The 14,093-nt window shown below is 38.2% G+C and overlaps 1 protein-coding gene across 52 annotated transcripts in view; it reads left to right on the forward strand.

The window, feature by feature from the left end:
• LPP (LIM domain containing preferred translocation partner in lipoma) overlaps positions 1 to 14,093 on the forward strand; it is a 737,651-nt gene that overhangs the window by 552,949 nt on the left and 170,609 nt on the right. For 51 of the 52 annotated variants that reach the window (XM_047448103.1, NM_001375457.1, NM_001375456.1 and 48 more), the window contains one exon: positions 2,298 to 2,424. The exons of the other annotated variant lie outside the window; for it this stretch is intronic. In XM_047448103.1, the coding sequence (XP_047304059.1) occupies positions 2,298 to 2,424 (127 nt within the window). The remainder of the gene's footprint in view (positions 1 to 2,297; positions 2,425 to 14,093) is intronic. 52 annotated transcript variants of the gene reach the window in all.

A 14,093-nucleotide genomic window follows, 5' to 3' on the forward strand; every position in this document is an offset into this window, starting at 1 on the left:
AAAACTCTCAAAAACAAAGGTTGTGTGTAATATATCTTCATGTCCCTCCTGGGTTCTTACAGAAGGTACACAAAATAAACCCTGTAAGAATGAGTGGATAAAACAATAAACAAAAGAATAACTGAATAATTCAGTAGCTTCTCTAATCCTCATATGACAGGTAATGTTTACAGTTCAGAGGAGGTCCTAAGTTTAACCTTTAATGTTTGCTAATAAATAAGTCAGTCAAGGATGAGCTCTTGTCCTGACTTTATCAAAACTAGCCCTCCCTGATTTTTGGGGGGCTCTCAGTTTCCCTGTCTCACAAAGAGGAGATTAGCATAATGGTTCTTCAGATCCTGGCAAGCAACTCAATTTTTTTTGTCTGTAACCTGAGCATATGCCATAGTTTACTCATCACTGTCTCATCTCTAATCCAAATTGTTCAACAATGCAATAAAGTCTCAGGCTAAGGTTAGTGACCAGCATAAAATATTTTTGGCCTTTTCAGCCTTCTGCGTGTCTGTACTTCAAATGTCTGTATATTTTGGGAAACCAAAAAAAATGGAAATTATTTTAGAGAAAAGGCCAAATAGGTACCAATCAACCTTCTTGACTATGTTTAGAAGACATTTAACGCTTTAGACATCACACAAATGATTAATACCCATCTTGGAGTTGTAGTAAATGTTGGGAATGATAGCATGTGTTCAGAGATTTGTACTTTACAGGATTTTCACGTCCAAGAGCTCACTTGGTGTAGTGAAGATAATAGGAGAATGAATATGTAGCTTTCAGTTTTGTTGAACTTACTCTTGTAAACATTCTGAAAAGAGAACCTTTTGGCCAACTATTTTAACAATGCATAAATATCAAGGCAAGAGCATTCCCAACCCACATCTCTGCCCATTACTCATGGCAGACATCATCATCAGTTCTAAATTTAAATAATAGCATTTCTGTTTTTATCACACTTTTATTAAGAATGTTGGGGTGAGATATTAGAAATGGTCAAATTTATAGGCAATGGAAAATGTGATAAATTCCCTTTTAATCACATAGCACAAAGCTACTTTAAATCTAGTATATGGCCTTTATTCCTTTTTTACATACTTTTTATTCTTCATTGATGATCTCAAGTACTCTCTCAATTGATATTTGATTCTCTTGCATTGCTATAATTCTGGCTCGCCCGCCTATTTATTTTTTAATTTTTTTTTTACTGCAGTATGTTTTGGGGTACATGTGAGTTTTGGTTACATGGATGGGTTCTATAGTGGTGAATTCTGAGATTTTAGTGCACCCATCACCCAAGCAGTGTACACTGTACCCATAAGGGTGGAATGAAGGGGGAATAGACAAAGGCCCCAGTGGCCCTGCATGTCCCATATGGGTACAGGGGATGAGGGATAAAAGACTATACATTTTATATGGAGTCTTTGATCCCTGCCCCCCTGCCCAACCTGGCCGCGCCAAAGCCCCAAAGTCCATCATTTTGCTCTGTATGTCTTCACATCCTCGTAGCTTTGCTCTCACCCACCCATTTCAACACCAACCCAGTGTCAATGCTACTGACTTATCATCACTATTTGAAATCTGGCTGTTTGCAGTGCTGGAAAAATGAAATTACTCAACTTCCTTAACTGGAACAAAAGAACTAGAACCAAAATGTTCGCTTTCTGGACTCCTGTACTCGATAAGATTTATCTCATTTCCTATCTCAAAGTTTATATGTGGTCCCGAAGTACACAACTTCCACAAGCTCTTTATGCTGCTTGACTTTTTTCACCTGAGTGTGAGAAACTTCTACCTGTATGTTTTCTCCCTTTTAGCTGAATAAGGCCTAGCCTGCTCTGCTCCCTCTCTTCAGGAAGTCCGTCGCGGGCTATGCGAGAGGTCCCACCTTATACCCTTATTTTGCTCTTCCTGCAGCTGTTTTTCTTTAATTATTAATGTGCCTGTATCTCTCACTTCACTGTAAGGTTCATAAGAAAGAAAGACTCAATTTATTTTTCTCATAAATGTATAACAGCAAATAGTGATTACTTAGCAATTGTTGAACAAAATAGATTCTTCCTATTGTAAACATGGATTTCTAAAGCCTGATAGATGACTCATCTAGATAAGGCAAATGAGTAAAGAGATGTGTCCAAGGTTAGCCACTGAATAAGTGATAAAACTAATTCTAAAACCCAGGTCTCCTGACAGCCACGTCCAGTGCTTTTTCCTCTCCAGTGCAATCGCTGCTTGTTTAGGCTGACTGCCTTGGTTGATGGTCTAGGTGGCAATTAAAGGACTGTGTGCTTTCTGCCTTTCAGGGTGGCCATTCAGGGCAACTGGGGCCTTCGTCAGTTGCCCCTTCATTCCGCCCAGAGGATGAGCTTGAGCACCTGACCAAAAAGATGCTGTATGACATGGAAAATCCACCTGCTGACGAATACTTTGGTGAGTGGGGCCTAGAGCTGACTTCTGAAGTAACTATCTTGCTCTGATTTCCTTCCTTAGTAATTGGAACTATTATCAGCTCCACTGGTAAAGTATTTGAGTCCAGATGCATGAGAGTTGATATACATCCCCGCACAACTAAGTAATTGTAGGATTTGCATTTGCAAGACTGCCATAGATGTGATGTCTACTTAGCTTATACTAAAATTTCAGTGGTCCTTAGAGTTTCCTTAGATACAAATTTTATTGTTGAGACTTATTTTTTACCAGTCTAGGCAACATGGGGAGACCCTGTCTCCATTAAAAATACAAAAATTAGCTGAGTGTGGTGGCATGTGCCTGCAGTCCCAGCTACTCAGAAGGCTGAGGCTGGAGAATCACCTGAGCCTGGGAGGTCGAGGCTGCAGTGAGCTGTGGCTCAGTGAGCTGTGGTTGTGCCACTGCACTCCAGCCTGGACAACAGAGTGAGACCCTGTTTTTTTGTTTTTTGTTTTTGTTTTTGTTTTTTGTTTTAAAAAAGAAGACATTTTTTGACAACTTATTAGCTTCCCATTAGGCAGAAATAGGATTTCTGTGTATGTTCCCATTTCTCACTGGTCTAAAGATTCAAGTAAAAAATGTGGAATTGGATATTGTCTGATATCCAATTTCCAGATTGTACTCTTAATTTTTTTTTCTATCTCAGTTGAAGAAATGATGTTTTCTTTGTAGTTTTAATTTTCCCCTCTTCAAACTTGTTAATAACTAGGAATGGTTAATCCTTCCAATCCATGAATATAATGCAAATTTATGAATTATATGCCGATTGTGAGGTTCTGTGGACGCATAACCTGTCCTCAGTGAGGTTAAAATTGTTCAGAAAGAGGTAAGACAAGCATACAAATAATTACTAGTCTAGGTAGAAAGTGATAAAAGACATGAGAAGGCTTAGGTCAATTGTTGCAAATTTTATTTTTATTTTATTTTATTTTATTTATTTTTGAGACAGAGCCTTGCTCTGTCACCCAGGCTAGAGTATACTGGCGTGATCTTGGCTCACTGCAACCTCCACCTCCGGATTTTGAGCAATTCTCCTGCCTCAGCCTCCCGAGTAGCTGGGATTACAGGTGCCCACCGCCACACCTGGCTAGTTTTTGTATTTTTAGTAGAGACGAGGTTTCGCCATGTTGGCCAGGCTGGTCTTGAACTCCTGACCTCAGGTGATCCACCCGCCTCAGCCTCCCAAAGTGCTGGGATTACAGGTGTGAGCCACTGCGCCCGGCCAGAAGTTTTAAAAGCTCCATTTATTAGGAGCATCCGGAATACTTTGGTAAAGAATTGGTGGCACTTGAATCTGAGCCCTTTAAACCAGTGCCTTTCACATTTTCTGTGGTAGAAGACCATTTTCCTCCCAATCTGTTGGAGACCAGTATTTTTGTTGAGTCAGTTAAAATTAATTACTAGGGAAATAAAAGACACAAAATAAAATGGAAGATGAAATTTTATCATTATTAGAGTTAACTGTTAACGAATTACTCTTTTAAATTTTTATACTAGTTTCTAAATATTAATCCTTTGTTCCTGTATTTATCTCATCCAGGGTGATAAGCATTTCTTAGACACCCATCCATGGACCACTTTTTGAGTGGCACTGCTTTAAGGACAAATAGAGAAACGACATTTGGGGAACAGTATTAGTAAAGGCACAAAGATGGGGAAATTGCACAGGATTTTTGCTTCTTCAAATATTTTCTATTTTCATGTCTTTTTTGCTCCTATATGGGAATATGTAATGACAGGTCAACTGACCACACCAGTCCAAAAACACACAGTAGATGAAGTAGGAGGTATTAGGATATGAAAACCCTGGCTTTTATTTGTGTTGGGGTGGCAGTTTAGCTTAGCTAAAAGAGCAAAAAGAGTGGGAATGAAACATCTGGTTGTGGTCTCTTCTCTGTCCCTCGCTGGCCAAGCAATACTGGCATGTCACCCATCTGCCTGAGCCCCATTTCCCACCTCACTATATCAACGGTTGGGGCAAATGTTCTCTAGCATTTCTTTCAACAGTAATAAGTTCAATGTACAAACATCCTTAATCTAAAGTATAACAATAAAGCTAAACATAAATTGATGGAGATTAACAACAATGCATGGAGAACAGTAAAACAAAACATAGAAAATCCACGAAGGTTTCTAGTTACATCAAAATACACAAAAAGTTTATTAATGCTCTTGTCATTGCCATGTGAGGAGGGTTTATAATGGGGTCTAAAATACATTTTTTAAAAGTGAAAAATAAGGTCTCTGTATTTAGGTCCTATTAAAAAGGAAAAGCTGACTTACCAAGTATATATGCTTCAAATATCATAGCAACAAAATATATTGCCACAAAAAAAAAACTGAACATAGATGCTAATTGCATGAATGAATATATATTGAACACTCTGGGAAACAGATATAAATTATTACCTTTCCCTTCAAGAACTGTCCAAGCTCTACTACTTAGTAGCTTAGAAAACTTGAACAAGTATTATTCCCTCTAAACCTTCATTTTTGTTTTGTTTTATCTGTAATATGGGAATAATAACTAGCTTATACTGTTGTTTTAAGAAATGGATGAAATATTTATACAAAGCACTTAGCCAAGTTCTTGGCATGTAGAATATGCTCAATACAATACTCAAGGTTCTCCCATGCTCTTGGGGCTTATAGTTTATTTAAGACATAAGATATGCTCGTTAAAAATCCATTAATAATGCTCAATTTAAGTTTAAGTTCCTAGCAACAATAGAACGTATGTCACTGGTAAGTAATCATTGCCAAATGGGGATGAATAACCATTTGAGAATTTGGAAAAATGGCTAACTTTTATTGAGTGCTTATGATATGGCAGCACTATATTTTATTTACATTATAGGAATTAACTCATTTCACTCTTATAGGAAAACATAACCCTGTGAAATAGATACTATTATCATTTTCAGATTTTGAAATTAAGGCACAGAAATATTAATTTGCCTAATGTCAACAGCTAATACATTGCAGAACTGAATTAGAATGCAGATCTGTACATTTACACACCACACTGTAAAAGATGGGGAAAGCTAGCCAGGCTACATATTTAGAAGAGTGTTTATGGTGGAGATTAGCTTTGGACAGATGGGAAATAAGAGATGAGCATTCTCTTCTAGGTACACAGAATTAACAAAATATAAGTTGAGGCCAGGATTATTTAAAGAAAATTTACGTTATGTAGAAAACAAAAAAAAAAGTGCCTATGGTAATATTCAGGCTGCTCTGCTAGGTGGTGGTGGGGGTAGATGTGGGTCTTACCTTTGAAGTTCTTATAGTCTAATAGGATATGTGTACAGAGTTATGGTGTTATAAGCACAAGGCAGAAAGTGACAAGTGACTTAATCAATGTTCACCAAGTGTTCTTTGAGAATTCAGAAAAAGGAAAGAGAAAATCAAGAGAGAGAAATGGAAAAGTATTTATGGAATACTTAGCCTTTGAGTAAGTCTTTAAAATTGTGCTAATTGAGATTTGGAAGTAGGAAGATAGTAGAGAAGTGAAGTCATTTCTCATGAGGGGAGTTTTTGACATAACAGGGAATAAAACCACTGGAGTGAAGTGTCCACGTGAGAAGTAGCAAATATTGGGAAATAAGGTTCAAGTAGTAGGTTAGGACCAATCTAGGGAAGGCTGTCAATGTCCGGCTAAAGGCTAAGAACGTTATTGTCTATAATGAGCCCTTGCACATTGAGATCACATGCCATGAGAACTGCTCTGTGGATAGTGGTTAAAAACATGCACTCCAGAGCCAGGATGCACTTCTTACCAGCAAGATGAAATCAAGAGGCAAAGGACTAGTGAAAAGAACTGTCCTTTATTGTTCCGTGCTTTAAACATTTCTCAAGCACCTTCTCTGTGCCTGCTACTGTGCTGGGTGTTCAGGACACCCAAATGCAGAGGCTCTGCCCTCATGGGGCTCACGGGTTCCTAGGAAGGACAAGAGAGTCACAGATGTCAAGGATTTTAGTGCAGATATTAGCACTGTGTTGGGTGTGACTGAGCTGCTATGTGAGAGTCCATAAGTCTGCCTGAGGATGAGCGGAAAGAATACATAGCAGTGTGTTTGCATCAGCAGGGCCTGACCCAAGAGCGATAAAGTCTTCTCTTCCTTTCTGTCAGAGTTTTACCTTTGGCCTATTCTGGACTGCAAATAGCATTGCCAAGCACTTCCCTTAAATAACTTCTCTTTTTTGCAGGACTATCCTCTCAGCCCTGCCAAAACCCCATCACCTACTCTTTCTTTACTACTTTGCCTATTTAATGCTGGAATTTTTATTTAAACTGTAGCTGATTTACTGAAGGTAATTAAGTGCTTTCATGCTGTAGATCTCCTGCTAGACTACAGGCTGTACTTGGGAGTGAGAGTGAACAAAATGTAAATAAATGATGTCAACAGAGTAGGTTCCTTTGTGGTCATGTTGCTTTGCTTCCAAGACACTCTTTTTTTTTTCATAAGTAGAATGATTCATGAATATGTTATTATAGTTCTTGTTTCTTTGCGGAGCCCCTCATCACTCTTAACAGTTTTATTTATATTGAATTATAATTATCGTATGCTTAAAAGTACTGGGAGAGGTACCAGAAGATCACCTCACAGATGACTTAAGTACAAAGGAGAAAAGGAACTTTTATAATGGAGAGGTCTCCTGGAAGCCGTCTTAAACCAAGTAATGAAATTTAACATCCTCAATAATGGGACAGACTGGCATGTGCCAACTGAATGTAGGAAGTCTGCAGCATCGTCTAGGCAGTGGTCTTGCTAAAATATTTCAGCTCTATCCAACCATGAGGAAGTAAAAAATGCAGATGATGGGACATGCTTCAAGACACCTGTCCTGAATTCTGCAACACTGTCAATGTTATAAAACACTATTCTAGATTAAAGGAAATTGAAGAGACATGCCATTCAAATGCAAGGCATGTGTCTTGATTGAATTCTGGATGAAAAAAAAAAAAGCTGTAAAGGATTGGTAACAAACTTAGAGAAATTTGAATATCAATGATATATTAGATAATACATCAATGTTAATTTCATGATGATATTAATGGTGTTGTGATTATGTAGGAAAATCTTATTTTTATGAGCTATTTGTTGCAGTATAAGGTGAGGTATGATTGTGTCTACAGTTTTATTTTGAAATATTGATAGAGTGACAGAAATAGAGAGAGAGAGACAGAAAGAGAGAGAGGGATGATTGACAGATATACGTAGACAAACAGAGATAGAGATAAATGTGGGGAGGCAGAATCACCTCAGGTTAAAACAGCTAGAGATGCTATAACTGCAACAACTATAAGGACTCCCCTCCTCTCTAAAAGTGTACTGAAGCCTGTCACAAATGAATTACCTTAAGAATCCCTTCTTGGGTGGGTAGAGAGATTGACATTTCTGCACCTTCTCAACTTTCCTGTTTTAATGACTACAGTGGGTCTTTGAAATTTCCCGTTATCGTTTTCTTTTTTTCTTATTTTTTACCAGACATACACATCTTCTATTGCTGGTGAGATGAGGACAATTGTGGTAGTGATGACAAAAGCTGATATTTACCTAGAGCTCCATATGTTTAAAAAACCAAGTCGCAGCCACAACATGACTGGCAGACCTGGCGATGATGTCTTCATTTCATTTTTTGGATGGGGAAATAGAGATTCAGAGAGGCTCAGTGAGTTGTTCAAGCTCACATAGCTAATAATTTTGGAATTTGGCCTCACTCTTCTGATCTCATGTCTATCATAATACATTACCATTACAGAAAGGTATATAAATGCTGTTCCTGCTGAATGTTAGTAACTGGCTGTTTCTCTCCCATGTCATAACTTTTCCTTATGAAGTTATGATCTTCAAGTGAGAGATGGAGGGACTGCTTCTGCCCAAGATTACATGTTTGTAATCTGGACTTCGATGTCACTGATATGTTTCAACTATCTTAAACATCCTGAATTAACTGCTGTGACATGGCTGAGGTACATACATTAGGAAGACCGTCTACCGAATACCTACCTATCAGCCATTTTGCAGTCTGTAGTTCTTCTCTTGACCATGGGAGAAGGCAAATCACTAATAGCCACCGTTCTTATTTTTTCAAGTCAGGTTTTTTTATAAAATATAACAAACAGGGACCCTTAACTGTCTCAGCTGGGTTTTTTTTTAATGATTTCTTCTGGAAAGGTGATAGTTTTAGTGTTTCCATGCCTTCTTTTGTCCATGTTCATTATAACTTGTGACTGTCGCATTACAGTATTAGGTAAATGCCACAGATGTTGAACCATGATAAAGCAGTTGGATGAGTCTATATCTCTAAAGGGAAGATACAGTCTCTATACTGTGGGCATTTGCCATCTACTTGGACTTAAGTTTTGGCTATAACAGATTTCCTTACCATGGACCTGTGTCTTTCCATTAATACTGGTGTCATTGAGAGGGCCTCTAAACACTACCCTGTAGAGGAAAGGGAGGAAACATAGTAGAAAGTTGGGGGTAGGAGAAAATTCTTACCCAGTTCAATAAACCAGACAGTGAGTGTTTAGCCCAGCTCATCTACAGGAAGCCTTGGTTCAAGTGCTTGCATTTTAGAGCAAATTTTTTCCTAGACAACTAGAAAAATATGTTGATACTAAAGGAGGCTCTCAGTTCTAGTGATAGATACTTAAAAAGAACAAGGGGTGGCTCATGCCTGTAATCCCAGCACTTTGGGAGGCTGAGGTGGGCAGATCACGAGGTCAAGAGATCAAGACCATCCTGGCCAACATGGTGAAACCCCATCTCTACTAAAAATACAAAAATCAGCTGGGCATGGTGGCACGCACCTGTAGTCCCAGTTACTCAGGAGGCTGAGGCAGGAGAATCACTTGAACCCAGGAGGCGGAGGTTACAGTGAGCCAAGATCGTGCCACTGCACTCCAGCCTGGTGACAGAGGGAGACTCCGTCTCAAAAAAAAAAAAAAAAAAAAAAAAAAAAAAGGAACATGGGGCGATGAAGTAGCTGTAAATTATTATAATTTAGAGTCAATTCAGAGCTTATAATAGAAAATGGAAAACTTTTAAATTGAGTATTAAAATGAATAGGAGAGAAAGGTATTATTCTCAGAAAATTGGGACATCTACAGGGCTAGTTGCCAGTTTTAAAGTTTGTTTTTTCAAACAGTTTTAGGCAGCTAAAGGAAAGCAAAGTTGAGTTTTTCTCCAGATAACCTTGAGATATCTCTTTGAAATTGTCCAAGACTTTTCTGTGTTGGTTGATACAGCCACAGCCTTAAGTAATACACCCAGAGCCTCTAAGTTTTATGCTTTCATTCATTTTGTAAGAGAAAGCGTGTTTGTATATGAAGCTTTTCATACATGCATGTCTGTGACTATGGCATAATTTTTTCCAAATAATAATATTCTGGCTGAGGAGCCCTCAAGGCTGAAGGCAACACTGTTGGAAGACAGTATCTCTGGAAATGGATGTTGTAATACATCTAAGGATGGACTGGAAATATCTGACAGTAGATTTTTAAGCATAGAGCTGTAATTATCTTGACATTGTTTATATGATATTGTCTTATTCCTTCTTTAAAAAAAAGCAGAAGTATGTGAGCCTTAAAATTATTGAGTGAGCTATTTGAAGAATCCTTCAGAGCAGTGCCAGGTAAATTATCTTCTCAGAACTTAGCATTTATCTAAGGAAACTTTTTGTTCATCTCTGAGTATTGTTAGTAGGAGTTTTTGAGAATTTTTGCAGAAAACCAGGAGTTTGTTCCAGTGGAACTAGGCCTTCATTTTTCAAAGGACAGCTAGACAAAAGTGAAGGCATGAGGCAGCAGGGACCTAGCACATGCTAAGCCTTGAGAGAAGAAAGGCGTTAACATGAACAAAGTGCTATGATCGGTCACTTTATTGGTTATGCCAGCTCATTGTATTTGGTGCCTTGGTATCAACTCAATTAAGATGAAAATGGAGGGCCAGTGAATGTTCATGAATAGAAACAGAACAAAAAAAACAATGAGGAGGATGGTCCATTTTCTTTCTGCACTAGTGGGACCAGTTGATAAGTGAGCTTGTCCAGAGGACTTGACTAAGATGCTTAGGAAATTAGAAACCATGATTTGAGGTGCAGTTGAAGGTATGGAGAGAGGAAAACCTAGAGCCCTCATTGCTGTTGAAAGACTATCATGTGGAAAAGGAATTTGACTTAATATTTGTGATTCAAAAATTAGCAACAAAGGCAAGTGAGGGGAGTCTGGCCAGTTCCCATTCAGCGTAATGAAATCACTTTCTTAAGAGACAGAAGAAAGTCTTTGTAAAATTCTAGGTCAGAATCTAATAATCCCTTGTTGGTGAAAATGGTGATAGGTACTCAAGCAACTGATGGATGATTAGATTATACTTCATAAGTGCTGTCCAATTCTAACATTTTGTGACTTAGGCACAAACAAGACGCTAAACTTGTTTGGAAGTTAGCGTCTTGCATCCAACTTCTAGGTCTACCCCTAGATTATCATTATTATTATTACATGATTTCAACTAACATTTATATAATGCTTTTTAAAGCACTTTTCTACATGTTATATCACTTGAGCAAGACAGCAGTCCTACAAAATAGACAGTGTGTTTATTTCCATTTGGGATATGAAGAAATGAAAGATTTCAGTGATTAAGGGACTCCCCACTCCCCAGGGCTCTCCACTACCCTCACAAGTCATAAAGCAGGTAAGTAGCAGAATTGCCCTGGGGCACAGGCCTACAGACTTTAAATTCTTTTCACTTTTCACCCCATTGTGCTGTTAACACCATGTTGCTGAATTGGTCATGGGCCATAAGATAGATGAGTTAACATACTTCATGTTTTAGCTTTTTAATCTGTATAAGGAACGATGTGATTACTTTGTAAAGTGCTTAGAGGATCTCAACTGAGAGGTGTAAAGTAATTTGTATTTCATAGTTTGTGTTATTATGTGACAAGAAAATGGTTTCCAAAGTGCTTCTATCAATTACAAACTGGGAAATGACTCCAGGTAGGCAGCTACCTTTAGTGGATCTTGTTTTCACAGATAAATGACCTAATTAATGAAAAACCCCAAAACCACAATGGAAGAAAAATTAGACAATAAGTGGCTTAGAGAGAAGGTTGTATTGATTTGGGGGGAAAAATGGGTTTTTTGGTTTTGTTTCTCTCTAACTTTTTGTTTAGGGTATCTTTGAGTTGTGGGAATAGAATGTTCTCTAGTTAATGAGGCATATTAGATATATTTTCTTTTGTGGTAGTGACTTCTGGTAATGTTTGTTCAGAGTAGTATATGTTTACAGCACTAAATAAATAATAATTCTGAGCATTTTATGTGTTCTATCTTAGCATACATTAATTTTTTATTAATTTGGCTAGTGTGTTTGTTTGTTTGTCTGTTTTGTGTCAGAGTTTCACTCTTATTGACCAGGCTGGAGTGCAATGGTGCGATCTCGGTGCACCACAAACTCCACCTCCAAGGTTCAAGCGATTCTCCTGCCTCAGCCTCCCAGGTAGCTGGGATTACAGGCATATGCCAGCATGCCAGGCTAATTATTTTTGTATTTTTAGTAGAGACGAGGTTTCTCCATGTTGGTCAGGCTGATCTCGAACTCCCGACCTCAGGTGATCCTCCTGCCTCGGCCTCCCAAAAGTGCTGGGATTACAGGCGTGAGCCACTGCACCCGGCCTGGCTAATGTGTTTTTAAGCATTGATTTGGAATCCCAGACTTAGAGTAAAGAAGAATGTGATCTTAGAAATTATCTAGGAAAATCCTTCATTTTCTAGAAAACTGTATCCCAAATGACTTATCCAAAGCCATGCAACTAGGTGTGTTTTGAATTCTATGGTCAAAATTTTCTTTCTGAGTAATGGACAGTCTCCGATGGCATGAAGAGGAATGGCAGGGCTGTTTACAAAGGTGCAGACATAGGTCGGGCCTGCTACTTTTGTGATCTCAGACCGTAGATCCACCTTATTCAAACATAAGAACACATTGTCCTTAAAAAGAATAAAATAAATAACTTTTAAGGAATTTTGTGTATGTATTTTTCAAATACAAAAGAACCAAAGTTTTCTTATTCAAAAGAAACAAAAGAGATTCCCAGTATCTTTTATCTCAGTGTCTTTATCCAATTTACTTGTAATATTTCCTATCTGTTTTCTTCACTAAATGTAAGTCTGCGTGAGGGCAACAATTTATGTTTAGTTCAGTATTGTGTTCCTATCATTCCTGGAATAATGCCTGGCACATCGGAGATATTTAATAGGTGTTAATGAATTAATGAACTAATAAATGAAAACTGTGAGCAGACTTTCACACTTCTGTGACAGGACATGGTATATAGTAAACTATAGGGAGGAAATACTTCATTCATTTAAGATATATTTATTTAGCACCTTATAAAATCATAAAACGTTAGAGCTGGAGGGAATCTTAAGAGACTAGGAAAACCTCTTCATTTTTAGAGATCATGAAAATGAGTGAGATTTTTAGGGTCCCAAATTTGTTAGTGACAGAGCCACAGAGTATAACTCAGATTTTCTCATTCCTTTTTTTAATTCACTTAAGGGCACAGGAAAACATATAAACTAGAGTAAGACATGGCTGCTACATTTATTGAACTTAAATTTAAATTGTTTTAACACCTTTGGACTTGATCTCTTTTGCATGTATCTTCTGTGAAATTTAAAGGTTCAACTGGTCAATGAAGAGAGTACTTGGTTAAGATTTTATTTTTTAAGTACTGGGTCACATTTCCTCCACCTGTAGGTTTCATCTATAGTCTTTGGTTCCCAGGACCATTTCGTACCACCACAATTTTCTTCTGTTCTAATCTAATTGGATTGGATGGATAGGGCATCACATTGAAAGAAACATTCTTTTCTTACGTTTACTTGAGTTGTCCATAGCAACCTGTCCTGAAAGATTGTCCGTTTAAAGTAAGCCTCTTCAAGACTGTGAACCACCACCCAAGATTGGTGTTTCATACCGTCTTGATACAAACAGCAGACATCCAGTCATTCAGCTGCGTTAGGATCACTATCTCTTTATCAGAAGAAAGAAGAGAAAAGTAGAAGAGAGATTTCTACTTCATAATTGAATGTTCTTTGCTTATTAACTGTGGAAGCAAACTTGAAATTCTGGGAGAGAAAGCACTGATGGGGCACACATTGTCTGTGGTGCAAAGAAAGTCTCAGTTTGGTACTGGTACCTGAACCTGCAAGTGCTAATTATGCATCTTCTGGTATTAACACACAAACACAATTAACTGTGAACTCAGCTCCTTTTCCCTTTCAAACCACCATCATTCCCCCAACCTGCACTTTCCCCACCACTTTCTCTAAAACACACAGATAAGCATCTCCTTACAGACTTTGAAGTGACATTAGGATTGTCAGAAGGCATAATTAATTGACTGTCAGCAAAGCTATTGTTTGAACATCTCTGGAGTTGTACTTGGTAGGCATCTTGTTTTTTTGTTGTTTTGTTTTGTCTGAGACGTAGTCTTGCTCCGTCGCCCAGGTTGGAATGCAGTGGCGTGATCTTGGCTCACTGCAACCTCCACCTCCCAGGTTCAAGCTGTGCTCCTGCCTCAGCCTCCCAAGTAGATGGGACTACAGGCACGTG

This window comes from Homo sapiens, chromosome 3 (assembly GCF_000001405.40).
Source record: "Homo sapiens chromosome 3, GRCh38.p14 Primary Assembly".
NCBI lineage: Eukaryota > Metazoa > Chordata > Mammalia > Primates > Hominidae > Homo > Homo sapiens.